Here is a 12,210-nt window from a genome sequence, read left to right on the forward strand (position 1 = left end):
TTTAAAGTAGTTTTTTCCAATTCTGTGAAGAAAGTCATTGGTAGCTTGATGGGGATGGCAACTGAATCTATAAATTACCTTGGGCAGTATGGCCATTTTCACGATATTGATTCTTCCTACCCATGAGCATGGAATGTTCTTCCATTTGTTTGTATCCTCTTTTATTTCATTGAGCAGTGGTTTGTAGTTCTCCTTGAAGAGGTCCTTCACATCCCTTGTAAGTTGGATTCCTAAATATTTTATTCTCTTTGAAGCAATTGTGAATGGGAGTTCACTCATGATTTGGCTCTCTGTTTGTCTGTTATTGGTGTATAAGAATGCTTGTGATTTTTGTACATTGATTTTGTATCCTGAGACTTTGCTGAAGTTGCTTATCAGCTTAAGGAGATTTTGGGCAGAGACAATGGGGTTTTCTAGATATACAATGATGTCATCTGCAAACAGGGACAATTTGACTTCCTCTTTTCCTAGTTGAATACCCTTTATTTCCTTCTCCTGCCTAATTGCCCTGGCCAGAACTTCCAACACTATGTTGAATAGGAGTGGTGAGAGAGGGCATCCCTGTCTTGTGCCAGTTTTCAAAGGGAATGCTTCCAGTTTTTGCCCATTCAGTATGATATTGGCTGTGGGTTTGTCATAGATAGCTCTCTCTCGGCAGAAACTCTACAAGCCAGAAGAGAGTGGGGGCCAATATTCAACATTCTTAAAGAAAAGAATTTTCAACCCAGAATTTCATATCCAGCCAAACTAAGCTTCATAAGTGAAGGAGAAATAAAATACTTTACAGACTATTTTTCTTATGGGTTTGTTGTCTGCATGTTTCTCATTGCTTTGGAGTTCTTTATATGTTCTGGATATACAAAACTTGTCATTCATGTGTTCCAAATCTCTTCTCACACTTTTGTTTGCATTTCTTCTCTCTTAAAAATATTAATTGGTAAACAAAGATTTAAATTATAATCAATCCAGTTTATCAAAATGTTATGGTTTTTTAATGTCATGTGTAAGAAATCTTACTCTTTCCCAAGGTCATGAAGATGTTCTTTTTGATTATCTTTAGAAGCTTTTTCATTCGCCTTTTATATTTACAGTTACAGTCTACCTGGTTTGAGTTAAAAGTCAAGACTTATTTGTGGGTTTTTTTGTTTTTGTTTGTTTGTTTGCAGCTCCTCATCTGTTGAAGTTTTTTTTTTCAATTTTACTTTTATTTATTTATTTTATTATATTTTAAGTTCTGGGATACATGTGCAGAATGTGCAGGATTGTTACATAGGTATACATGTGCCATGGTGGTTTGCTGCACCCATCAACCCGTCATCTAGGCTTTAAGCCCCGCATGCGATAGTTATTTCTCCTAATGCTATCCCTCCCCTTGCCCCCTACCCCCTGACAGGCCTCGGTGTGTGATGTTCCCCTCCCTGTGTCCGTGTGTTCTAATCGTTCGACTCCCACTTATGAGTGAGAACATGCAGTGTTTGGTTTACTGTTCCTGTGTTAGTTTGCTGAGAATGATGGTTTCCAGCTTCATCCATGTCCCTGCAAAGGACGTGAACTCATTCTTTTTTATGGCTGCATAGTATTCTATGCTGTATATATGCCACATTTTCTTTATCCAGTCTATCATTGATGGGCATTTGGGTTGGTTCCAAGTCTTTGCTATTGTGAATAGTGCTGCAATAAACATACGTGTGCATGTGTCTTTATAGTAGAATGATTTATAATCCTTTGGGTATATACCCAGTAATGGGATTTCTGGGTCAAATGGTATTCCTGGTTCCAGATCCAAAAGGAATCGCAACAAAAGCCAAAGTTGACAAATGGGATCTAATTAAACTAAAGAGCTTCTGCACAGCAAAAGAAACTATCATCAGAGTGAACAGGCAGCCTACAGAGTGGGAGAAAATTTTTGCAATCTATCCATCTGACAAGGGGCTAATATCCAGAATCTACAAGTAACGTAAACATATTTACAAGAAAAAAAACATCAAAAAGTGGATGAAGGATATGAACAGACACTTCTCAAAAGAAAACATTTATGCAGCTAACAAACATGAAAAAATGCTCATCATCGCTGGTCATTAGAGAAATGCAAATCAAAACCACAATGAGATACCATCTCATGCCACTTAGAATGGCGATTAAAAAGCCAGGAAATAACAGATGCTTTTATTATTTATTATTTATTATATTTATTATATATTATTTATTATTTATTATAAAGCAGGAAATAACAGATGGAGAGGAAGTGGAGAAATAGGAATGCTTTTACACTGTTGGTGGGAGTGTAAATTAGTTCAACCATTGTGAAAGACAGGGTGGCGATTCTTCAAGACTGATTTTTTTAATGGATATTAAACCAACAGCACAATTTATTGAAAAAAAAAAAAAGTCCTGCCCACTGCCCTGTAGTGTTCATATGGAAGTGGTATTGTTCTATTCTCTTTTCTGTTCCATTGTTCTATTATCTATCCTTGTGCCACTGTCACACTAATGTAATTCCTATAGCTCTATGATCAGTCTTATTTCTGGCAGAAAAAGTTTTACAACTTTATTTTTCTAGATCAAGAGTATTAGTCTATTCAGGCTGTTGTATCAAAATACCAGAAACGGAGTAGCTTTTAAACAACAAACTACCAGCAAGGCACTTGAGGCTGAAGTTTTCTACTTGGGAATATGCCTTTTTCTCTGGTTGCTTCTTGTTACTGTGTGTTTGGTATTGATCACTTTTACTTGATGTACTTAAATGTTTTCTTTGTACTGTATTTATCTTGCTTAGAGTCAAGAGATTTCTGGAATTTTTGGCTTGATTTTTTAAATCATTTTTAGAAAAATTCAAAGGCATCTAGCACTAAGCCCTGTAGTTGCTGCTGAGTAAACAAAAAACCGTATGTGTCAGTAGAGCAGGCACCTTCCCATAATCACTGATGAGTAAAGTGAGGCGGACATCAGTGAGTCTGAAATCAATCTGCCCTGATGGTGCACCTCAAAGTAATTAATCCACACAAACTACCTGGAGCTGTGCTTTGCTTGTAGTAGATCTATGTATATTTTGTGATTATTGTTACTGCTTTCGTTGCAATATTCTCTTCTCTCTGCCATATTAACATATTTCCATTTTTCAAAACAGAGGAAATATGAAATTCCCTAGTATCAAGTGAGCAAAATCCAAAGCACCTTGTAAACTATCATGACCAACACTTACAACCATGATCAGAGTCATAAACTACACATTTGATAAATTGAGCAATGAGGCCTGAGATTTGTACTTTTTCCCGTCCTTTTCTTTGGAGAGTTTAATTAATTAGTCTGCCACTTTTCCAGAGGTCTTCATCACCTGAGTCATTAAATTACTTTTGAGTTCTCCCAGGTGGCAAATTAGCCATGTAGCTTGAACGTTAAGTGGATAATAGTGTCTCTTAATGATGCCTTGTAGATTCCTTTAGAGTTAAGCAATTTTTTCCTTTCAAGCATGGAAATGTTTTTGTTCAGAAAAACTGAACAGCATCTTTTTCAGTGATATAAATAGTTGTATTAGCATTTTACACACGGAGCAGCAAAATATCTTTAAGTACATTAAGTAGATAAAATCCAGTAAACAGAAGTTAGATGACATGTTATTTAGAATGTTAACTTGATACTAAAAAATTGACATTTTTGTAGATATATGGTATCATGGTTATGGTTTTAAAAAGACTTCTTAATTTTTTAGCCCCATACTGAAATATTTATGAATGAAATGACATGATATCTGGTATTTTCTTCAAAATAACATGGGAGGGCCATATTATTCAGGGTATAGAAGAAATAAGATTGGCTCTAAGTTGACAATGTAAGCTAGAGGATGGCTATTTAAGGATTCATAATACCCATCTGCCAACCTTCACATATACTTTAATTATCCCTAATAAAAAGTTTTTTAAACTATTGGGTAAATATTAAATGAATTAATACCAACAAATCCCAATTTGCTAGAAGACTATCAATGCCAATTTAATTGCTACATTCTCAAGGTCTATGAAGGCAGGATTCACGGCTTAATTCACTTTATACTATGGACTTTTTCTATCACCTATCCTATTGTTAGGAGCTTGGTATGAGTTTTTTTGGGTGTATTAATGATCTTTTTTTCTAATTTAATTTTTAAGTTCTGTGATACATATGCAGGATGTGTAGGTTTGTTGCATAGGTAAACGTGTGCCATGGTGGTTTGCTGCAACTATCAACCCATCACCTGGGTACTAAGCCCCACATGCATTAGCTGTTTCTCCTAATGCTCTCCCTCCCTCCACCCCATCCCCTGACAAGCCACAGTGTGTGTTGTTCCCGCCTGCCCCCATCCCTGCTGTGTCCATGTGTTCTTGTTGTTCAACTCCCACTTGTAAGTGAGAACATGTGATGTTTGGTTTTCTGTTCCTGCTTTAGTTTGCTGAGGATAATAGCTTCCAGCTCCATCCATGTCCCTGTAAAGGACATGGCCTCATTCCTTTTTATGGCTGCATAGTATTCCATGGTGCATATGTACCACATTTTTTTTTCTTTTTTAAAAAAATTTTACTTTAAGTTCCAGGATACATGTACCGAAGCAAGGGTTGCAATCCTAGTCTCTGATTAAACAGACCTTAAACCAACAAAGATCAAAAAAGACAAAGAAGGGCATTACATAGTGGTAAAGGGATCAACACAACAAGAAGAGCTAACTGTCCTAAATATATATGCACCCAATACAGGAGCACCCAGATTCATAAAACGAGTTCTTAGAGACCTACAAAGAGACTTAGACTCTCACACAATAATAATGGGAGACTTTAACACCACATTTTCAATATTAGACAGATCAACAAGACAAAATTAACAAGGACATTGAGGACTTGAACTCAGCTCTGGATCAAGTAGACCTAATAGACATCTACAGAACTCTCCACCCTAAATTAACAGAATATACGTTTGTCTCAGTGCCACATGGCACTTATTCTAAAATCAACCACATAAATGGAAGTAAAACACTCCTCAGCAAATGCAAAAGAACTGAAATCATAACAGACAGTCTCTCAGACTACAGTGCAATCAAATTAAAATTTAGGATTAAGAAACTCACTCAAAACCACACAACCACATAGAAATTGAACAACCTGCTCCTGAATGACTCCTGGGTAAATAACGAAATTAAGGCAGAAATGAAGAAGTTCTTTGAAACCAGTAAGGACAAAGAGACAACATACCAGAATCTCTGGGACACAGCTAAAGCAATGTTAAGAGGGAAATTTAGAGCACTAAATGCCCACATCAGAAAGCTGGAAAGATCTGAAATCAACACCCTAACATCACAACTGTAGAGAAGCAAGAGCAAACAAATTCAAAAGCTAACAGAAGACAAAAAATAACTAAGATCAGAGCAGAATTGAAGGAGATAGAGACATGAAAAAACCTTCAAAAAAATCAATGAATCCAGGAGCTGTGTTTTTGAAAAAATTAACAAAATAGATAGACCACTAGCTAGACTAATAAAGAAGAAAATAGAGGAGAATCAAATAGACACAATAAAAATGATAATGGGGATATCACCACGGATCCCACAGCAATAGAAACTACCATCAGAGAATACTATAACACCTCTACACAAATAAACCAGAAAATCTAGAAGAAATGGATAAATCCCTGGACACATACACCCTCCCAAGACTAAACCAGGAAGAAGTTGAATCCCTGAATAGACCAATAACAAGTTCTGAAATTGAGGCAGTAATTAATAGCCTACCACCCAAAAAATGCCCAGGACCAGATGGATTCACTGCTGAATTCTACCAGAGGTACAGAGGAGCTAATATCATTCCTTCTGAAACTATTCCAAACAATTGAAAAGGAGGGACTCCTCCGTAACTCATTTTATGATGCCAGCATCATCCTGATTCCAAAACCTGGCAGAGATACAACAAAAAAAGAAAACTTCAGGCCAAAATCCCTCATGAACATTGAAGCGAAAATCATCAATAAAATACTGGCAAACCAAATCCAGCAGCACATCAAAAAGCTTATCCACCACGATCAAGTCGGCTTCATCCCTGGGATGCAAGACTGATTCAACATATGCAAATCAATAAACATTATGTAATCATAATCACATAAACAGAATCAGTGACAAAAACTACATGATTATCTCAATAGATGCAGAAAAGGCCTTCGATAAAATTCAACATTCCTTCATGTTAACTCTCAATAAATTAGGTATTGATGGAATATATCTCAAAATAATAAGAGCTGTTTATGACAAACCCATAGCCAATATCATACTGAATGGACAAAAGCTGGAAACATTCCCTTTGAAAACTGGCACAAGACAAGGATGCTCTCTCTCACCACTCCTATTAATGATCTTTGTTCTGACTTCTGTTGAAAATGAGCAGTGAAGCAATGCATTTATTAATTAGCTTGATTAATATATATTGATCTGTACATATATATTAAAACATCATGTTGTATACCATAAATACATAAAATTTTTGTCAATTTAAAAAAATCTCATTGATTCCACTTCCAAAATACACCCTGTATCTTGTTACCTCTCAGTCATCTATCATCTACTGCCTGTAACAGCTAGACATCACTTGTGGGAAGAGCCATTGAATCCAGACTTCCAGAATTCTCCCAACCTTCACTTTTATTCCTCTGCAGTCTGTTCTCCAAGAAGAGCATGTCAGTCCTCCTCATAAAACCAGTGATTTGTATTGTCTTTATATAATACAGACTTTTTACCATGGCCAACAAGGCCCATGTGATCTGTCTTCTGCCTAACTCTCCAACTTCATCTCATACTGTTCTCTCCCTCCTTTAGTATATATTTTTGTCACTGAGTTGTGTGCTCTGAGCAGAGGCAAATCAGACACCTTCTGACTGGAGCCAATGTTCTTGTTTCCTTTGTTTGCTGTCTCTTCCCCATGTTCTCTGCATAACAGGCCTTTCAGTTCTCAACTCAGGTTGTCATTTCCTTAGAGATTGCTTCCATGATGTGTAGTTCATTCATAACACAGGTTACAATCTGTCTTGTTTATTTGCTTGTTTACTATTCATTTCCTCCAGTAGAAACCCCATGTTTCCCTCTCCTCTTATCTTTCCAGAAGTCCATCACACTACCTAGCCCATAAAAACCACATTTCACTGAAATCTAAGATGTGATCAATTGTAGGATGCAGTATTCGGTTATGCACCACCAAGAAAGTAAAAACACTGCAAATTAAACTATTGTGCAATACTAATTTCTTTTGATTATAAAAAACTTGGCTTTCGAGAAAATAAAATGTGCTTTTAAAATGCATTCTTGAATTGATGAAATACATATCTTGTTGAACACATGAAAAACTGTACTTCACTTAATCATAATTAGTTGTTTGCTAGTGATCTTTTGAGGAAAATTTTCTGAAAAAGATATGCATGTAGAGGCCAAGAGATTGCATAGGTGATGAGTAACACTATATTATGAAAAAGAGGATATTGTTAGTATGAAGAAGTATGAGTAATCGAAGGATTGTATGAGTAGCTGTTCCAAACTGCCAATTACTGGCTTGTCAACAATGATTCCAATTCTGTAGGTCTTGAGTGGGCCATGAAACTGGAATGCTCAACAGACACTTTAAGAGACTCATATCCATTGTTCCAGAAATAGATTCAGCCCTCTACAGGGGGAAGACAGAAAACAGAGATGTAAATTGCTAGAGCTGGTAGTGGGTAGGTATGGGAATATGCATCTGATTGCCTCTATGTGTTCAATAAAATATGAGGTCTTTGGTTCAGTGTAGTAGGATAGGGATTTTGGAGCCTTGAGAAAGAAGGGAAGGTAAAAAATAGTCAATGCAGAGAGTATGAAAGCAAGAGGAAGTAATATATTCTTCGGAAATTGAATAGATTTGCAGATTTGAGAAATACTGCAGTAGAAAAGAAGGTGTTTGATTGGATGTTGGATGGTATCCCGATGTGGTTGATTAACAAATACCCACTGCTGAAGGAGTATCAAGACAACCTGCCCTCTTTAGCTGCCTTGGATTGCTCTCGTCCCTAAACTGCATTCAGTTTCCATAACACCTGGCCTTTCCTGAGTGGCTGTGAAATTGCTGCTTCCATTGCTATCATTTACATAGTTAAAATAAAATAAACTCATAGGTGAAGAAGGCTGGATTCAAACACTGACCTCAGAGTAAAAAATTCAGGCTCTTAATCACAGAAATGTACTGCTTCCCAATAACAAGTGCCTCTCGAGGTGGCCCAAGTAAGCCCCTTTTCTGTGGACTTGAAAGAAACTATCTCTCACATTCTGAAAACTGCAGTTTTCTATTTAAATAGAAAAACATCCAGACTCCTAAGATGGCTTCATGCTCTGCCCTTGTGCTCTGGTCCTAGCTGGTTCATCTTTGCTTACAGCCTCATCTTTCCTTACTCACACTTTGTGGTCCAGTCTGCTGTTCATCTTTAAGAGCCGTCCCAAGGCTGTGATCTTTAAGTTCAGATGCATGTGCATTTGGGTGCTATACAAGTTGATCCAATTGGGGTATGCTAGTGCTGTGTTCTCTTTCCTCCAGGCCTTTGCCCAAGTTGTCTCTTTCATCTGCTTGAAACCCCTTCTCACTTTTGTTTGGCTAAATCCTGCTAGTCTTAAGCTCTCACTTGAATCCTCACTTCTTCCAAGAAACCTCTTCTGATCCCCCCAGGTCTGAGATTACTATACTTCTCCTGAAAACCTGTACTCACCATTTTGCATCCTGATTGCCTCTTTACTGACATGTTCCTGCAAAGCTTCAGTACCTAGCCCGTACCTGCCTCAGAATTGTGCTCCATAAATGCCTACAGAATATTAAAAGAGGAAACATTTAATCATTTTTTAATGTTTAAGTTATAAACTTCATTAAGCCAGGTTCTTAGTTGGTTACACAGGGGTTTTTATCTACACAAAAATCTCCTGAGAAGTTTTGTCTTGAGGCAGAACAAAATAATTGATTCTAAAACGTAATTTGAATTATAATAGCATCGTAACACTGTAACATGAATAATAAAATCTATTGGGACTGTGAGCAGACTCATCCAAAAAAATAGAAAAAAGTGTTTGGGCACATATTTTTAAATCCTCTCTGGGCCATGTTTTGTACAGTAGTAGCATAAAATTATGCAACAATTTATACTTTTAACAGGTCAATACTAATAAGGAGAATTATCCAAAGCCACCCTCTTTCATTTTGCTTTCAGCTTAGCTCATGTCCTTTTCTGGTATTCAATATGTCACCCCATGCATCCTTCAGCCTGCAACTTCTTAACTACCTTACCTCAAGTTTGTGCCAGATAAATAGCAATGTTAAAAGTTACTATGAATTTAGTTTTTTTTTTTAATTGCTTTTTGTAGTGATGTTTTTCTTTCCCCAAACTGCGTGGCTTTCTCCCATTCCTACCTCAGTCTTCATAGCATGCTTTTCTACTCCAAGTGCGCATGTTTTGCTTTCTGAGAATGTGAGATTCACCCAAATAAAAAAGAAAGGGTTTGGTGTTGTTTGTCATTTGGAGTTTTTAGTGCCTCCCTGTACTACATTAGGATGGACAAAAGAGATTGTAATGCCATGAATATAAAGAGTTATTGTTCACTACTTACGAAAAATACTCTAGCTACTCATTATTTCAAAGTAGTTTATTTTAATCATTTAAAAATTAGTTGTGTCCACACTTTGTGCTTTAATCTTTTATTGTAATTTTTAATGCTAAACATATCTAGTACTCCATAACACATGCTAAATGTTGCGTTTTGATGTATCCTCCCTTCTCTCCTAATCTAGCTTCGTAGTCCTTTGAATACATTAATTTTGTAAATTACCGCAGTAGCAGCCAGATTTCATAAGGATGTTTTACATTGTTGTAACTGGTTTCATTTTCTTACTTGTTCCTATGATTCTCATTATATAGGAACTACTTACTTTATGTTCTTAACACAGAAGGGTCAGAGGAAACAGTTATTTTTTGTAACAATTTTTAAACTATTAGGCATTATACATTACAAAATCTTTTGTTCTTTTAAAATAGTAAAATGTGCCCAGAGTTTAGTGCTGAAGTATTCTGCAGTGATGTTGAAAAATGTGAAACACCTTTTATTTGGCATGTTGTCTAAATGCTGCCTGACCCCGCAGTTCTTGCAGTTGGTGCATCATCTGAATGCTGTCTAACCCTGCAGTTTCCAGAAACATGAGATGATAATTTGCTTCTTTGGTGAGCCTGTGGCTTAGGTCCATTTCTTTTCACAAAAAAGAATGATCAGAGAAGACTTAAATGCCCTATAAGTCATTTCAGAAACATTACGTAGTGATTATTTTGGTATTGCCTAAAGCAGGTATCAAGGTGATTAACATTCATTATGTTATCTTAAAAATTACACACAATCCTTTATTGCGGTCATGAAATAAGTAATACTGTATACAAAAAAAAAAATGAAAGAAAATAACCAGTGACGTTTTTTTCCTTCCATCTGCTCTTCCATCATGCAGGTACAACTTGGCCAAGTAGAAATCAAATGCCCCATCACAGAGTGTTTTGAATTCTTGGAAGAAACAACTGTTGTCTATAACTTAACGCATGAAGACTCCATCAAGTATAAGTACTTCTTGGAACTTGGCCGTATTGATTCCAGCACCAAGCCATGTCCTCAGTGCAAGCACTTTACAACCTTCAAGAAAAAAGGACATATTCCCACCCCTTCCAGATCAGAAAGCAAATACAAAGTAAGCATTTTCACCAGAGCTGTGGGTTAGATGTCACATGGCAGAAGCAGCCAGATTAGATCCACTTGTCGTGGGCATTAAGGGGGCATCTTTCCTTTATGGAGCTGAAGGTGAGCATATATTGGCCATCATTCTGAAAGCATATGGTTTGGGGAGGCTGATGATAAGAGAGTGCTCTTAAGGAATTAATTACAGTTTTGTCTTTGACTTTAACCATGTTGAAAATTAATCTAGTAACCTTATAGGAAGGCTGATCTTTAGAGTAATAATAGTTACTACTACCAAATACTAAATAAATACTAAGGCTTTTTCTTTATTATTATGGACTTGATTTTTTTTTCAGTGGTCCCAATGTAAGTCTCCTCTTGTTCTGTCTATAATAGGTAAAAATAGTATAAATGGTACTCATTCATTTATTCAGCAAATACAGAATGCTGTATATGCTAGGCAGTGTGCTAAATTTGGGGGCTATAGAGCAAATGTGATACAGTCCCTGCTTCAAAAAAAGTCGAAGATGGGAGAGACATGTGTTCTAAAAATGACAGTCCAATATGATTAGAAAAAAACACAAAGCTGTGTACATATAGTGTGCTTTGAGGACACTTGAAGGAGGGTTAGGCTCTAGGATGTCAGGAATGGCTTCACAGAGGAGGTGCAGTTCTCCAGACAGATAAACCTGGTGAGCATTTCAGAGCAAGGGATGAGTAAGTGCACGGCCCCCGAGGCTAAGGCCAGGCTTCTTGTAATCAAGTGCTTCTAGAGCTGGTGGAGAGTCGGGAGAGGCAGCTGATCGGGCAGATAAGAGCAGATCATGTTGAGTCTTGTGCAGTTTGCGCAGAAGTTTGGATGTAACTCTGTAAGCATTAGAGAAATGTCATCTGGCAGCATTCATAGAAGCTATCACAAGAGGACCAGACAGAAGTCTGGTTTGAAACCAAGGCAACAACTGTGACAGCAGAGCATTGATTCACAGCCCTGATTGTATATTAGAATCACCCGAGAACTTCCATGACACACCAGTGCCCCAGGCCCACCCCAGAACAATTGTCTTCCAAATTTTTGAGCCTCACCAGGTGACTAATCCACAGTAGAGAATCTTTGCAGTAAATGAAGCAGAAAACCAGTGAGGCTGTGGCAGTAGTTTTCATCCTTGTCATTACAGCAAAATGGCAGGATGAAGTGGTTTCAAAGGCTGTTTGGAGTCATCTCCATTTAAGGTAAGTTTCTGGTCATGTTCCCTTTCTTGAGAGCAGCAGTTACATTATTCATTTTGTAGCTTTGAGGGGACCATGGTTTAGCAGGTAGTTTCCTCTGCTGTTGCAGTTATAAGCTACAGTATTGTAGGTTAGTCAAAGCTTCTTCATGAGTCGTTGTTCTTTGAAACTGCTTGGCTCTCATAGTTAATTTATTTACTGTTTTTATGCAGGCCATTCTCTATCAGGTATAACTGTTAGAAAAAAATCCTATT

The 12,210-nt window shown here is 37.1% G+C and overlaps 1 protein-coding gene across 14 annotated transcripts in view; it reads left to right on the top strand.

Annotated features, from left to right (window-relative positions):
- Nucleotides 1–12,210, top strand: part of RNF217 (ring finger protein 217) — a 130,198-nt gene that overhangs the window by 72,266 nt on the left and 45,722 nt on the right. For 8 of the 14 annotated variants that reach the window (NR_136734.1, NR_104440.3, XM_011535494.3 and 5 more), the window contains one exon: nucleotides 10,509–10,742. The exons of 2 other annotated variants lie outside the window; for them this stretch is intronic. Coding sequence is in view for 9 of the 12 variants with exons in the window: in XM_011535494.3 (XP_011533796.1) it covers nucleotides 10,509–10,742 (234 nt within the window). In the remaining 3 variants the exon portion in view is untranslated. Of the gene's footprint in view, nucleotides 1–10,502; nucleotides 10,743–11,904; nucleotides 11,960–12,210 lie in introns of those variants that run through there. 4 more of the 14 variants (XR_001743178.2, XM_047418242.1, XM_047418247.1 and 1 more) reach the window with 3 other exon arrangements.

The sequence above is a fragment of the Homo sapiens genome, chromosome 6 (assembly GCF_000001405.40).
Source record: "Homo sapiens chromosome 6, GRCh38.p14 Primary Assembly".
NCBI lineage: Eukaryota > Metazoa > Chordata > Mammalia > Primates > Hominidae > Homo > Homo sapiens.